Genomic DNA, 15,717 nt, shown 5'->3' on the forward strand with positions numbered 1-15,717 from the left:
AAAGCTTAACTTGAAATGCATTTTTTTTTTTTTTTTTTTTTTTTTTTGAGATGGAGTCTCTGTCACCCAGGCTGGAGCGCAGTAGTATGAGCTTGGCTCACTGCAACCTCTGCCTCCTGGGTTGAAGCGATTCTCCTGCCTCAGCCTCCCAAGTAGCTGAGACTACAGGTGCACATCACCACGCCCGGTTAATTTTTGTATTTTTAGTAGAGATGGGGGTTTCACCATATGTTGGCCAGGCTGGTCTCGAACTCCTGACCTCAAGTGATCTGCCCGCCTCGGCCTCCCAAAGCACTGGGATTACAGGCGTGAGCCGTGCCAGGCCTTGAAATGCATCTTGAAATGATTTAATACTGCAAATATGGCATCTCTGGCCAAACCCATCACTGACCTGCCCACCTCTTCTCGGACTCCTCACTGGCTCACGGCAGGCAAAGCCAGCACACAGGGTGATTTTTCTCTGCCTCCAACACACTCTAGTTCAAAAAAGTAGTTTGTGTGAAAGCTCCAAAAAAAGTTTCAGGAATCACTGGGGGCAAATTAAGTTTCAATCATTAAATTATTGCTTTGCTATAATATCTGTATTTACCCTGAAATTCCCATTACAGAAAAAGATTAGAGGAAGACACAGAAAAAAAAAATTTAATATTCAACATGCAAAACAACCTTTAAAAGAAACATGAAATCATAAAGCAAAGCTAACAGCCAACCAACAAATACCGCCTAGCAATGATTTCCACTGGATGTGGAAGAGGGTTAATAAAGACGCTGTTGGTAACGCGTACAGAACTATCACTGGCAATCAGCATACTGAGCTATCCAGTGGAGGCCAGCATCGTGTTTTTGCTAAAATACATGTTGTAGAAGTCATAATTCATAGTGAAGAATCTCAACAGGTTTTCTTACAGATTTAATTACTCTCACACAAATAATTCATTTGGAAACCATAAAAGATACCTATTTACACCTAAACTGCCTGGCCTTCCAGAGCGGGGACTAAAGGGGCAGGGCGGGGAAGAAAGCGAGCGTGTCGCGGGCTCTGTGGGGTTGCAGGGTCACTGTTATTTTGATCTGCTGAGCTCAAGGACTGGAAACGGAATAAAAACGCCTACTCGCCTTAGGCAGGATAAGAAGTTGTAAACTCACCCATCAGCAGCTGCCTCCACTTCTGAGGCTCCCCCTGCGGGAGGAGCTCTGAACCCAGCCCTGAGGCCACTCGGTGTCCCGAGGAGTGCTCCAGGGCTCGGAGAAGGGGCTCAGGGGTCCTTTTGCCACTGAGGATCAAGCCAGCCAGTGAAAAAGAAAAAACAAAAGCCCCAGCAGGTGCCCATCACCCGGCTCCCAGGGGTCATCTGCAGAGTCACGTGGCACTCTGGCCACTGCTGAAGAGCTGCTCTCCCTCGAAGGGCAGTGGCTGCCCCCTCCAGAGGCTGCTTCCATTCAAGCTCAAGGGCACGTGCCTTTCCTTATCTCGTGGAGTGTCCGTCCTATCAGGTGGTTGTTTGTAAAACAAAAGTACAGTCATTCTGCTTTCTGATACAGACTAGAGCAAGAGGACAGGAAGAACCAGTGGGCTGTCAAGAGACACTTGGTTTTTGAAACAGGACATGAAAGCAAATCCCACCTAAATTCAAAAATTGAGGAAAACGTCAGTGAAACCTGTTAAGTTCGCTAAAAAGTTGGCAGATGTTTCGTATGTCTTTAAAGGATTTTGGCCAACAACTTAAAACCACCATATTAGGACATGGTCCAGGCAGTCATTAGAATATACTGGCTGCACAGGGCCTTTCCTCTGGGACATCTTTTAATGAAAAAAAAAAGTTTTACTTTGTTCTTCAAAAGTCTTCTACTAACTAGTCTATTTATGATTAAAACAGCAAAAACAGATCCTGGTTTGAGTGCAGGTACATTCTTTGGGGGAGGGCACCTCAGGAACATGCATTTATACCCTTCCTGTGACTCCGTGTAGAGGGAAGACTAACTCACAGTCCATAAGAATCCAAAAGTGAGCGGCGACTTCACTCAGCAACCCATCCTGCCTCCAAGCTGACTTGGCTATAGAGTATCTTGCGTCCTTTTGTTCTCTTCTGACTACCTGTCACTCATGTTTTAAATAATCTTCTTTTGAAATAATAAGCCTTAGCTGGCTTTGCAGGCAACTAGGCACTTCCAGCAGGACATGAGAATGTAAGATGGCCACTACCGGAACTTACAGGTGCCAAAAGAAGAAAGGGTATAAACGGAGACCACCTATCACTCATCAGAACCTAGGATCATCACATTCCTTTAAATGGAAAAGCCCACCCTACAACTTTCTTTTTAATGTTCTAAAAAGTGACACCTAGGTTTCCTCAACAGAAAGCTGTGCTTCAATCCCAAATCCCCTTGAGACCAACATGCCTTAAAGGGGGTTTGGGTTTAAAGACCAATGTATCTTTTTTTTTTTTTTTTTTTTTTTTTTTTTTTTTTTTTTTGAGACAGAGTTTCGCTCTCGTTGCCCAGGCTAGAATGCAATGGCGTGATCTCGGCTCACTGCAACCTCTGCCTACTAGGTTCAAGTGATTCTCCTTCCTCAGCCTTCCGAGTAGCTGGGATTACAGGTGCCTGCCACCATGTCCAGCTAATTTTTCTATCTTTAGTAGACATGGGGTTTCAGCATGTTAGTCAGGCTGGTCTTGAACTCCTGATCTCAGGTGATCCACCCATCTCAGCCTCCCAAAGTGCTGGGATTACAGGCGTGAGCCACTGCGCCCAGCCCCAATATGTCTTAAAGGGGGTTTGGGATTAAAGTACAGTTTTCCGCTGAGGAAACCTAAGGTCTTAAAGGGGTTTTGGGATCAAGTGTCCTGTTGAGGAAAACTAGGTGTCACCATGCATTAGTCTTCCCCGCATTACACAAAAGGCAGGTGTGTTCCCAGAAAAATTAAAGATGGTCTTACAAGAAGTACAAATGTGCCAACACCAGGACTTTGGGGACCCTGGTTCTGGCCCTGCCACTTGTTACTCTATTACTTTATTCCACATGTCATCTGTTACTTTGGAAAAACAAACCTGGGAGTAACACCTTACTGTCTGGTTCTCAAGTGGCTAAGTGGCTCTGAGCAAGTTTTAAATCCGGCATCGCAAGTACCCTTTGGAGAGGGATTTAGGGCCTGAGAAAGGCAGACTCCACCGAGTGTCTGTCCATCTGTCCGGACAGCACCATGTGGCTCAGCATGCAGGCCAGGCCGCGTGCCTGGGTTTGACTCCCATCGCCGGCCCCTGCTGTTAGTTCCGGACAGTTCCTTGGTGCCTGTGTGCTGGTTTTCTCGTCTGTAAGATGGGGTCGGACAGGCAGCTGCACATGGTAGGCGCTGTGTGTCGGCTATGAAACCACCAGCCCACCGCGTGCCCTGTTCACATGCCTTACAAATTGAGGGCTGATCTCTAAAATAGCATGATTTGTACACGTTTCTGTGACCAGCGAGCCCTTTCACACATCACTGTGACTGGTCCTCATGGTCACCCTGTGAGGGGGGCAGCATTTTTGCCATCTTACAGACGGGGAGCCCAGCTTGCTCTGAGCCATCCAGCAGTGCTGGCCAAGCCTCCGAGCTTGGCCAAATGCTGGCCCCAGAGGAGACAACCTTCTCCCGCCCCTCACCTCTGAGAACAGAGGGCGGGCCGCTGTGCTCCTCACAACCTGGACTGCCTCATCTTCCCACGGACGAGCTGTCAGGGCTGTGTTTCTCCCAAGATCCCCAGAACAACCAGGGGAAGAGTTCCTGAAGAAATGGGTGTATTTTAGCCACATGGACTCAAACTTGGAAGCAGCATTTGGCATCCCCGGAGAGCACTCAAATGGGGCTGGACCATGCTCGGGGCTCCCTGAGGCTCTGTCCCCACACTTTGGGGCATGACATGACCTGGCTCTGTGCTGCCCTAAGACATGGGTTTAGGAACATGAAATCGTGCAGAGCTGAGCTGTCAGGCCTGAGCAGACACTGCTGGGGGAGAGAGAAAGTTCACATCCCCCCACCAAGCACGGTCTCAGATTAGGTTATTACAAAGGGCGAGGGGGAGGAGGGCATCCCAGGAGTCTAACATCCAACCCGACCTATGCAGAATGACGGGTGACCACGCCCTGACCCAGCCACACACTTGAACCCTGGGACTTCAGTGAGGTAGGTGGTATCAGCCCCATTTCACAGGTGGGCAAACTGAGGCAGAATGAAATGCAATAGCTCGCTTTTAATAACAACATACAAAAGTCTGGAGAAAGCCCCAAAGTAGTCCCCTGTTCCCAGAGCCCAAAGAATAAACAGATGGGAGAACAAGACCCTCCTCTTCCTTTTCCCCCACAGAGAAGATCCCTAAACACATCACCGGAACCCCTCAAATATTCCTGGGAACTTCAAACAAAAAAACATAGCAACAAAGAGACCCAGCTTCCAGTTTATTCCCAGTTGGGTAGGGGACAGGCCTGCTCTCGGGGAGGGTACCGTGCATCCTTGCAGATGGAAACGCCTTCATGCTGGACCAGGCCGAGGGCAGGCCTGGGGCTGGGCAGCTGCTCACACGAACCAATGGGGGTGCCCATGTGAGCCTCTGAGCAACTCCTCTGCCTCAGTGAGCTGGTCTGAGAGATGGGACCAACACACGCCGTCAAAGGAAGTGAGTTCTAGGAAACCAGGGAAGATGAAAAGACACCCCCGCCCCCAGAAGACGGGGTCCCACCTAGAACCTTCCTGGGAGGATGCCAGCCCCACCCCACATCAGACACCCTTTGGCAGATATCCTGTTCTGCCTGGCTACCGAGGCCTCCCGACTACCCTCAGAATCCAAATTCTGCAGGTTCCTCCGTGCGAGGCCCAGCGTGGGATGTCCCAGGTTGGAGGTGTGCGTGTTGGCGGTGTTCTTTGGCTGGAAGCAAAAGGCCGTTCTGGCGGGATCGGGGCCGTCTGCTCAGCTGGAGGCCTTTCTGGAACTGGGCGTGGGTGAGGTATTCCCAGCCCAGGGCAAAGCCATCAAACTTCTCGTGTTCCCATCTCCTATTAGAACAAAGTGGTAAACTGGGGAGGATGAGCTGGGACTGACTCGGGTGCTGAAGTTCATCCGCACGGCATTCCAGAATCTTCCACCGGCTTTCCTCAAGAACATGTGGACAGTCCAATGCACTGAGTGCCCTGGCTGGGTGGTTCCGCCTGCTGCTGGGGGGACGTGAACATAGACCCGCCGCTCTGGCCCCGCTCTGGGCATCAGCTGCTCCTTCCGCTCTCTCTCATGGCCGCTCGGCATCTCTAGTCCTCTTTGGGTGCAGAGGGCTCTCCAGAGATGGGTGGGGGGCGATGGGCGGGGGGCACAGGGCGGAGCAGCGCCAGCAGGGGAGGGAAGAGGCACTTCAGTTTGGGCTGGTGTTCGTGGAGTCGGCCCCGGCCCCGGGAGTCGAGTGGCCTCGCCTGGCTGCGGCTCCAGCACTGGCGTGCCATCGCAGACCCCGGTGGCGGTGGACAGGTAGGCACTTGGCAGCACTCCGAGGGCTGGGCCCGGCCGGGGCTCTGCGCAGGCTCCGCACGCGGCTAGGTCATCAGGATGGGCTTCTGCCGAACTTCCAGGATGTCTAGGGCCGGCAGGAGGGAAGCAGGTGAAACAGTAACCCTCAACAGCGGTGAGTGCTATGGTCACGGCAGTGCCACTTCTGAAGGAAGCCCGCCTCAGCCACTCATGCATCTCCTCTCCAGGCCTCACAGACTGCAGAGGAGACGTGTCTCCACCATCCTCACCCTGCAGACTGGGAAATGGGCTCGCAGCAACGGCACACCCTGCAGGGCCTCAGGTGCAAGCTGGTGTGGGGGCCAGAGCCACTGCCTGTCACAGCTGCTGCAGGCCTGGGTCAGCGAGGTGGCCTGAGAGCCTCCCCTCGCCCGTGAGTAACACACACCTGGGCATCTGTGGCCACTCAAGAGGGGACAGCAGGTGCGCCAGAAAGGTGAACAAAGGGAGGACTTCAGCTCTGGGAAAGCTACGGCTCCACCCAAAGTCTGAGACAAAGAGGCCAAGAGCCCTGCAAAGAAACCCAACCAACCGACAGGACAGGGCGGGATGACTCCGGGTGGCTCACAAGTACCAAGGCCCTGGAGGCAGAGCTGGCTGTGAGAAGGTGCGGCTGCTTCCCCACATCCGCCAGCATTACCTGTTAAAATCCGATGCAGCGGCAACGTGACGTAGGTTAAGTGTGCATAGAGAAGGAAGTTTCCATCTGCTCTGTTCAGCTTCAGCCAGGACCCGACCAGGGACCGTCCTGTGCCCGACAGGGACCGAGACCGCAGGTTGGTTGCATTGTGCAGATCGGCTGGAGGAAAGAAGGCCAGGTCAAGGCCCCCACAGCATGGGACGCGGCGGGAGCAGCAGGAGGCCAGCTCCCAGTCCAGGCTGAGGCCAAACTCTGCTGAGGCCAGGACGCTCCTTACCAACACCCCCACACCAGCACCCACACGCTCCAGAGCTGCTGCCTCCTCGCCTGTAACACCCCTCCCTGCTTCCTCTGGCCCAGACCCAGGCCTCCAACTCCAGGAAGACTTTGGCCACCCCCCTCATCTCTCTCTTCTCTGTCACAAGCTTAGTCTCCTCCGGGGGTTCTGGCACACACACTGTGTAATTCTCTGCTTCTGCAGGCCCTGTCCCTGGAACTAGGCACCGCCACCTGCAGAGCATGGGAGCAGCAAGGCTGAGCCGACCTGCACCATTACCCAGTCCTGCGGTCCAGGCTGGGGGAACCTGCCCCAGAGAGGCAGACTAGGGCAGTGATCAGTACTTCTTACTGATTCGGGAACGGGCCCAGGTGGGGAAGGGGCTTGCCCAAGTTCACACAAGAGCAGGTCGAGGCCAGTGCTGGAGTCCCTGACCCAGGCCAGGGCCTTGAGCAGGTGGGACACCCCTGCTTCTTGGTCCCAGTGGTCAGGACAAAGACTGCCACCTCTTCTGATCAATGCTGCAGCCCTGCTCCCTGCTGGGGGAGGTGCTCAGTGGGAGTTGTCAGCGAATCCTTCACGTCGTTTTTTTTTGTTTGTTTTGAGATGGAATCTCACTCTTGCCCAGGCTCGAGTGCAGTGGCACGATCTCGGCTCACCGCAACCTCTGCCTCCCAGGTTCAAGAGATTCTCCTGCCTCAGCCTCCTGAGTAGCTGGGATTACAGGCGCCCACCACCATGCCCGGCTAATTTTTTGTATTTTTAGTAGAGACAGGGTTTCACCATGTTGGCCAGGCTGGTCTCGAACTCCTGACCTCAGGTGATCCACCCGCCTCGGTCTCGCTAAGTGCTGGAATTACAGGGGTGAGCCACTGTGCCTGGCCAATCCTTCACTTCCATACACTCAACAGACACGCACACAGTGCGGAGCCAGGCGCCCGCTGGGTCCTGAGGATGACAGTGAGGAAGGCACGTGGTCCATGCCAGCAGAGCATGGCAGAACTTCCCAACCTGTCTGTGACGGCCACGCCTGTCCCCAGGAGCCATTTCCCACAGAGACTGCTGAGTGGCATTTTAAATATGCTAATCTGATTGTGTCACTCCCTTGCTTAAAACCCCTCAGAGGCCTCCCTGGGGGCTCTGGGAACAACTCCTGTATTCTGGAAGGTCACTGAGCGAGGACAGGGAGCAGGCACGGGTGCTCAGGAGAGAGTGCAGACTGTGCCTGGGCAGGACTAAGGGGCATGGTAACACCCAGATACAGACAACCGGAGTCCAGGGGACAGGGGCACAGGAAGGCCCCGGGGGTAGGCTGCACGAGGTGGCGACTGTGTCACCAAAGAGCACGTGGTTCTGGGAGGCTGCACAGAGCCAGGAGGGCCAGGCCTCACCCTGAGGGCGAGCTGGCCCAAGGCAGCGCAAGGGAGGGAAGCCCTCCTCTCTCCCGCCACACCCCGTGTGTGCGGAGCCATCAGATCACCCATCCGCTTTCTTCCTTAAGCAGGCTGAAAAGCCTTAGAAAGGTGGGAAATCCCCTGAAACTGACCAACTGCTGCACATCTGCGCTCCAAGCACTCTGCCAAGGAGACGCCTGAGCCCACCAGGACGGGACCCCCAGAGGCAGCCATTTCTGCCTGTCCCCAGCTCTACCCCTCAGCTCCTGGAGGGCTGCCTGGCACATGGCACCCACTCTCTAAGTGCTGCTGAATGAACAAATGAATGAATGAATAAATGAATGAATGACTGGTCTGGATCAAGAAGAGACTGAAGGGCACGGGGACCCTAGGGCACGGAGTGGGGGGTCACCTCCACCGTCGTCCTCCCGGAAGAACTCCTCGCTGTCGTTGGCCGAGTGCGACTTCTTCATCTCAGCGATCCGGTTCCGGGGCACCTTCCTCTTGAGGGATGGGGAGAAGAAGGCAGGCCGGTTGTTCCGTTCTGGGGTGGGGGGTGTGCTGAAGGAGGTCACCTGGGAACAAGCAGCCAAAGTCACCAGAGTAGCAGAACAGCCCCCTCCCCGGGGGTCCCAACGCCCCTCCTATCCCACCCTCAAACAACCTGACACAGCTCCCAGGGAAGAGGCCGCTGGCCCAGGAGGACCCAGGCCCAGCCGGCCCGTGCTAGGTGGGGCCTAGAGACTGGAAGATGCGTTCCAGCCCAGGGGCCAGCAGGACACCTGGCCACCAGTGCTACCCGAGGAGGGGCCAGGCTGCTGCCGCAAATGGCAGAAAGACCCCCCTCCTCTGGGCCTCAAACAGTGGGTAGGGGGTGTTCAAGCACAAAGTAACAACAGCTGCTGACGCTGAGTGAGCACTGGCCCCACACACAGACCCTCTGAGCCTCCAGCTCCGTGAGACAGGGGCTAGCGTCAGCCCATCTGACACATGGGGAAACTAAGGCAGGGACCGAGACCCTGGCTTGCCTGTGGTCACCAAGCAGGACGGCAGCAGCCCTGTCTTCTGTCCCCCAGGGCCACGCTCCTCATCCTACTTCTCAGGGCTGACGTGGCCCCATCCCTCTCATTCCCAGCACCCTTCACAGGAAATACTGTGCTAAGTAGCTCTATGCCTCTGTCTTCTCCCCACTTCTAATCACGTTTGGTTCTGTTCACCAAACATTCACACCCACTCAGGGCCAGGCAGGCACAGCACTAAGGACAGACAGGCACATTGCAGGTCCCTGCCCTCAAGGAGCTCACAGTCTGCTGGGGTGACAGACTCAGAGAGTGACAACCATAGACAGCATGCTGGCTGTGGAGACAGAGAAAGAGAAGCACAGGATACATGAAGCACAGAGGCAAAAGGGATCCACAGCCTGGGAAATCAGGGAAGGCTTCCTGGAGGAGATGCCGCTGGAGCTGGGTCTTGAAGGACGAGTAGGAGTTCGCCAGGTGAAGAAGGGGGGGAAGGGCGTTCCAGCCAGAGGGAACTTGGCCCATCTCCTCCCTCCTCCCCATGCCAACAATAATCTGAGGAGCAGGATGAGCTGGGACTGAGACTTCGGGAGCCCCGTCAGCCTCCTCGTCACGGCTCCGACATCCACCAAAGTCCTGGCAGCTGCTGGGCTCCAGACGGTGTTCCCACAAGCCGGGGAAGGTTTTTAAAAGATAAAAGAAACAAACAGCAGCAACCACAATACACAGAGTCAGCATGTGTCACGCACTGGCTCCAGACGACCCCGCCAGAGAAGGAGACAGGTAATAGCAGGCGCACAGGCGGCAGTCCCCAGGGGCCAGCCCTGCTGCTGACCCTGTGTGACCCTAGCACATCCCTCCTCCTGAATCCCAGGGCTGCCCAGCTGCTAAGGCACCAGGGACTTTCACACCCCTCACAGCCACTCCCGCTGGACAGATGGGAAAACCAAGGCTCAGGCAGGTCTAGTGACCTGTAGTCACTCAGCCCTCAGGCTGTGGCTGGAGGTGGCACCCGGGTTTGTCCAGCCCAGAGCTCGGGCCACATCTTCGTAAGGACTTTCACACACACATTTTGTCAGAGTCCCAGGGCATAATTTAGGACCAGGGAGAAGAACCAGGCCCTTTATCTCGGAAACAAACTCAGAAATATAAACCACCTCATTCCAAAGACAAGAGAGGCCCCTGCCTGGAATTCTCACCCATCTTTGCAAAAAATAGCACTTGCTGTCTTTGGCTTGCAAAACACATTCATTGCAGAAGATACCTCCCCCCCAAAAAAAGATATACAGAAGAGAAAGAAAACCAACATCTGACCACCCGGAGATATGCATGATTCAGATCTTTCTCGAACTAAAAGTATAACAAACGCACACTCCCTCATCTCAGGCATGCCTGCGGTAATGCATCGTTTACATTCCCACGCCTCTGCTTTCCAAGTAGGTCAACAGCAACTACTGCAGCTGCCACCTGGGAATCCTCCTGAGGGCCAAGCCCCGGATTCCTCAAAGCCTCCCAAATACTGAAGGAGCAGGTATCCTCGTGCCCTGTTTCTAGATGAGAAAACTGAGGCTTGGAGAGGAAAAGAGACACACCCAAGGTTATGAGAGCAGCAGAGCAGGATTCTGGCTGTGGGTGGCGTCTCTCCTGGACAATGGCTGGGCAAGACTGCCCCTGGACCTGTGCCAAGGGCACCCCCCTGCCCAGCACACCTGTACTCTTCCAAGAACTACAGCTCTGGGCAGTCCCTCTGGAAGAACCAGGTAGAGCAAAGCAGCCAGTGGGCTGGAGACCTTCTCCTGCCTGTGCCCCACCAAAGGCTTCTGGGAACAAAGCTGCTGCTGACCTCAGCCTCCCGCCCTGGGGAAGGAGAGTGGCCTAGGCAGAGCAGGGCCCCAAGCCCAGTGCTATCCCAAGAGACCTTGTGACCTGGGGCAAGCTGGCAAGTCTGGTTTCCGGCTGTGCGAGGCAGGAACGCCTCTCCTGCAGCAGAACCTCCTACAAACCGCGGGGCAAAGAGCTGGGTGGCCTAGGCCTCTGCATGCGCTGGCTGACCCTCAGTCACCATCATCCCCATCTGACTCACCGGGGAAGGCCGGCCACGTGCCCACGCTCACCCAGCAGGTCCACCCAGGCAGGCGCCAGGGCCGGGCCTGGGTCCCCAGCCAGTCTCTTCTGCCCACTGGCTCTGTGGACTCAGCCTGGCTTTGTGGCATCTCAGGGAGGCAGAAAGAGCTCTGGCCCAGCACCAGCCTGCGGTGTGACCTTGGCCAGGCACAGCCCTCCAGGTCTGCAAGGCAGGAACGCCTCCCCTGCGGCAGTGCCTCCTACAAACCGCTAGGCAAAGAGAAGGGCTGGGTGGTCCGGGCCTCCGCACGCTCGGCACCTCGGCCTGCGCACTGGTGGTTGGGGATGACAACACCTATGTCCCCAGGGGGCCGTGAGCACGGGGGAGACGGTGGAAAGTGAACTTGACGGATGGGAGCCCCCGCCCCCAGCTGTGCAGCCCTTACCCGCTCGTGCATGGGCGAAGCTGGGCTGGAGTCCTCTTCAGTCCCACAGGGGGATGTGTCACCTGTAGACACTCGGCTGACCGCCATCTCGGCGTGGCCCTTGCCCTGGGGGCCCTTCATGCGCACAAACTCCATGTTGCTGTACTTGTAGAAGCCAAACGACATCTTCTGTGCCATGCGGGCGGCCACGCTCACCTGGGGGCCGGCGCGGGGCAGCCTGAGTCAGGGAGGTGGCGATGGCTCCATGGGGCCCCTCCCCAGGACATGAACAGCCAGGGCGACCATCCCTCAAGGAGCGGGGGCTGCCCGGGAGGGAGCGTCTGAGCTGGCAGGCGGGGCAGCTGGAATGGACCCACATCTCTGCCTGGTGCCCCTCCTGGTGCCCCTCCCACCGCCCCATGAACCACGGACCAGGCTGAGGACAGGGCCCCAGGCTGGCAGCAAGGCTGGCTGCGGATGGTGCCCGCTGGGGGAGAGGGGCCTGCCCACATCTGCTTGCTTAGTTGGGGGCGACTCGGAGCACTCCCAGGGCCAGTCGCAGGAAGCAAGTGACAGTGAGGAGGTGACAGCGACACCATCAGCCATCACTTCCCAGGGAACTAGAGACTGAGGAGGAAGTTCCCGCTCACATTTCAGATGAAGGCAAGTGGCCCGCATGGGCTGAGGCCGACCATGAAGAATGACGTTAAGAGGACCAGGGAGCGCCTAGAAGGAGCCCGGAGGGGCTGCAGGTACCCCTGGCGGCCGCTACCATGCACAAGCAGGCTGGGGGGCCCCATGGTATGGACCACGGTGGGCTGTGGAGCCGCCGTCCCCGGGCCCAGAAGAACACCCGTGAGGCCGCCCCGCACTCACCCGGTTGTCATACACCTTCTTGAGCGCCTCGTAGCGGATGGAGCCCTGAAAGATGACCCCCTGGAACGTGTTGGTTTTGTCACTAGCCACCAGCTCCACACAGACCATCTCTCCTTCCCCTACGGTCATGTCGCTGAACACCTGGGCCAGGACACAAAGAGACAGGGACGTGACCATCAGCTCCCACCGCCCACACCACAGCCTGGCCCAACTGGCAGGGAGGGCTGCTCAGAAAACCCCATTTTGCAGGGGACAACCGGCTGTCACACACTCCTGTGGCCCCATGCCCTCCGAGCCCCACAGGACAAGAACAGCCTCACACTGGGGCAGGGGCTGAGCAGCAGGGGAGGACAGGGACGCTTACGGAGACTCTGGGACTGGCAGAAGACGCACACCCTCATCACGGTTCACCAGGACCGTCAGCCACCGTCTGGGCCCCTCCACACCGCCTAGGGGTGCCCAGCCCTGCCTGCCACATCTTTGAGGCTCCTGTGTGGCCAAAGGCTCAGTGTGGTGGCAGGGTGACTGCCCACCTGGGGTGACAACACCAGACTAAGGTGCCACAGGCCCCATCCTGCCACCTTCCCGAGTCATTGCTCCCAGGACCTGGTGCACAGACTGTGAGCTCCGAGGCCACAAAGACTTAGACGCAAATCTCAGCTCTGCCCTCTAGGAGCTACGTGTGCCTGGGGAGGGGACATGACCTCCCTGAGCCTGCGATTTTCCTGCAGACGCCCACGCCTTCCTCCTAAGTCCTCAGGGCCCTGAGCACCTTGGATGCGCACAAGGACCCCGACCAGGGCCTCAACAGAGGAGAGACACAAATGGGCAGAGCAGGGAGTGAGCTGCGACCGGCTCCCTCCCCGCCCTCCCAGTGCCCTGTGTTTCTCGGTGAGTCTCCTTCTGCCCAAGCCCGTTTCCCAAACCTTAAAACAAAGGCTTGGCCCAGATAACTCCGGAAACCCCATCCCTCTTTGACATCCTAGGATTCCAAGTCAGTGCAGGCGTGGAGGCGCTTCTTTATCATTTACTAGCATTAATAATGGCTCCTCCCGCCCGGGCAGTGCTTCTTGCAAGAGTTTATGAGGCGTCCTCCCACTCAGGAGCCTTTTAGTCTTCAGCCCTGACAGTAAGTAGGACAGATGATCATGACACTGATTTTACAGAGGAGGAAACGGAGGCTGCGCCGGGGAAATTCACCTGCCCACAAGCAAACACTGGGAAGAGAGAGAGCCACATCTGCCTCAGCCGGACTCTTCCCGGCTCCAAGCCACCCATGCCTTTCTGCAAGGCTAAGGCCGCGGGGAGAAGCGCCTAACACCCATCTCACGAGAAGGGGAAGCTAAGGAGAGAGGCCCTGTGCAGAGCTCACCTCCTCGAAGCTGTCAATCATGAAGAAGATGTTGGGGTAGCTGATCTTGGACTCCTCCCCCTTGCTGTCCATGGGGTGTTTACTGGGGGACGCGAACACTTGCTGGAAGAAAGCAGATTTGGAGGACAAGTGAGGCCCCACCCGGCACACAGGCCCAGAGCCAGTCCAAGCCAGTATAGGGAGGCCACCCGGCCCAGAGCCAGTCCAAAGCCAGAGACCTACCAGGAGATGTGGGGGATAAGCTGGTTCTGTGCTCCTCGAATGGGATACGGGATCCCAGGAGCTGAGCAGATTTCTGGAGTCAGACCCCTCACCTCCAGGGCAGAGAAGCAAGCAGGAGGACTTGTCTCTCTCTGCCACGCCCAGCCTGAACTGGCAGTTAGGAGGCTGGGGGCTCTCGTGCCAGGGCTCACCTGAGATTTCTTCTTATGGATGTGAATGTCCCCGCCGTCAGCACGTGTGCACACCGCACAGGTCACCATGTAGTCCAGCTGGAAGAGAGCACGGGTCAGCGTGCAGGGAGGGGTCAGCCATCCCACAGGGCCAATCCGCAGCCCCACCCATCCCACCCCATACCTTCTGCAGGATGAGATTCAGGCAGACGCTCTCCTCCCAGTCGATGTCAGGGTCTCCCAGGCCTGGCAGCTTCTTGGAGTCCCGCCGGTACACCTCCACCTCCACCTCAGGCTCAGCTGCCTGCGAGGCCCAGAGCAGAAGTGAGTGCCCAGGGCCCACTGTGGTGCTCTTCTTCTTCCCTGACTACTATGCAGGCATTACGATGGACAAGGACTCCAATTCTTTTTTCTTACTATTTTTTGAGACAGGGTCTCACACCGCTGCCCAGGCTAGAGAGCAGTGGTGCAATGACAGCTCACTGTAGCCTCAACCTCCTGGGCTCAAATGATCCTCTCACTTCAGCCTCCCAAGCAACAGGGACCACAGGCACGTGCTACCACACCCGGCTAATTTTTAAAACTTTTTGTAGATGTGGCGTTTCGCCATGTTGTCCAGGCTGGTCTTGAACTCCTGGGCTCAGGTGATCCTCCTGCCTCGACCTCCCAAAGTACTGGGATTACAGGTGTGAGCCACCATGCCCGGCCAGAACTCCAATTCTTGCTCCCCAGTTCTCTAGCGACGGGAGATGGGACCCAGGGGCCATCCATTCTCCTCACTAAGCCTCAGTTTCTTCATCTGTACAATGGACTAAGGGCATCTTCCCCTCAAAGTTGTCATAATGATTTAAAGAGCTCATATTTGCTAAGTGGCATCAATGATAATAGTGACACCTACTGAGCTCTTAGTGGACGGCGGGGTCTGGGCTACACATTTTACAAATTATTAATCCTTTTAAAGCAACCCTGCAATGCAGGTATCATTAGCCCCATGTTAACAGATCAGAGTCAAATTTACTGAAGATCAATAATAAATACATATCAGAGAGAAACCAAAGCATGTCTACACCTCTCCTGGGAGACTGGCTTCCAATTTTTTTTTTTTTTTGAGACAGAATCTCACTCCATCCGTCACCCAGGCTACAGTGCAACACATCTTGGCTCACTGCAGTCTCCGCCTCCTGGATTCTAATGATTCTCCTGCCTCAGCCTCCTGAGTAGCTGGGATTACAGGCACGTGCCACCACACCTGTCTACTTTTTGTATTTTTGGTAGAGACAGGATTTCACCATGTTGGCCAGGCTGGTCTCGAACTCCTGACCTCAGGTGATCTGCCCACCTCGGCCTCCTAAAGTGCTGGGATTACAAGCATGGGCCACCGTGCCCGGCCTCAATTTATTTCTTATTTATTGTTTTGAGACGGAGTCTCGCTCTGTCACCCGGGCTGGAGTACAGTGGCACAATCTTGGCTCACTGCAACCTCTACCTCCTGGGTTCATGTGATTCTCCTGCCCCAGCCTCCCAAGTAGCTGGGATTACAGGTGTCTGCCACCACACCTGGCTAATTTTTTTCTGTATTTTTAATAGAGAGGGGGTTTCACCATGTTGGCCAGGCTGATCTCGAACTCCTGACCTCAAGTGATCTACCCACCTCGGCCTCCCAAAGTGCAGGGATTACAGGCATGAGCCACTGCACCCGGCCTCAATTTATTTCTTATTTTTTTAT

The 15,717-nt window shown here is 55.9% G+C and overlaps 1 protein-coding gene and 1 non-coding gene across 3 annotated transcripts in view, besides 2 other annotated features; both read right to left on the reverse strand.

Moving 5' to 3' along the window:
• Positions 1-626: 626 nt before the first annotated feature.
• KIAA0930 overlaps positions 627-15,717 on the reverse strand; it is a 48,651-nt gene continuing 33,560 nt past the window's right edge. For both annotated transcript variants that reach the window (NM_001009880.2, NM_015264.2), the window contains exons 3-10: positions 14,176-14,295; positions 14,013-14,090; positions 13,600-13,701; positions 12,228-12,368; positions 11,373-11,567; positions 8,256-8,418; positions 6,173-6,331; positions 627-5,599 (exon numbers count right to left, since the gene is read on the reverse strand). In NM_001009880.2, the coding sequence (NP_001009880.1) occupies positions 5,559-5,599; positions 6,173-6,331; positions 8,256-8,418; positions 11,373-11,567; positions 12,228-12,368; positions 13,600-13,701; positions 14,013-14,090; positions 14,176-14,295 (999 nt within the window). In that variant the 3' untranslated portion in view covers positions 627-5,558. The remainder of the gene's footprint in view (positions 5,600-6,172; positions 6,332-8,255; positions 8,419-11,372; positions 11,568-12,227; positions 12,369-13,599; positions 13,702-14,012; positions 14,091-14,175; positions 14,296-15,717) is intronic.
• MIR1249 (microRNA 1249) lies at positions 9,337-9,402 on the reverse strand. The gene has a single exon (NR_031651.1). It is a non-coding gene; the product is annotated as a microRNA 1249 (primary transcript).
• Positions 10,710-10,854: an enhancer, noted in NCBI's record as "145 bp 22:45598280 sequence used in MPRA reporter constructs". NCBI's record gives its function as "activates a minimal TATA-containing promoter with rs78538621 allelic activity by MPRAs in UACC903 melanoma cells {active_cell/tissue: UACC903}" and the evidence as "EXISTENCE:reporter gene assay evidence [ECO:0000049][PMID:36423637]".
• Position 10,782: a transcriptional cis regulatory region, noted in NCBI's record as "rs78538621 or 22:45598280 MPRA-significant variant associated with a GWAS melanoma risk locus at 22q13.31". NCBI's record gives its function as "allelic transcriptional activity by MPRAs in UACC903 melanoma cells {active_cell/tissue: UACC903}" and the evidence as "EXISTENCE:reporter gene assay evidence [ECO:0000049][PMID:36423637]".

This window comes from Homo sapiens, chromosome 22 (assembly GCF_000001405.40).
Source record: "Homo sapiens chromosome 22, GRCh38.p14 Primary Assembly".
In the NCBI taxonomy this organism is placed as follows: domain Eukaryota; kingdom Metazoa; phylum Chordata; class Mammalia; order Primates; family Hominidae; genus Homo; species Homo sapiens.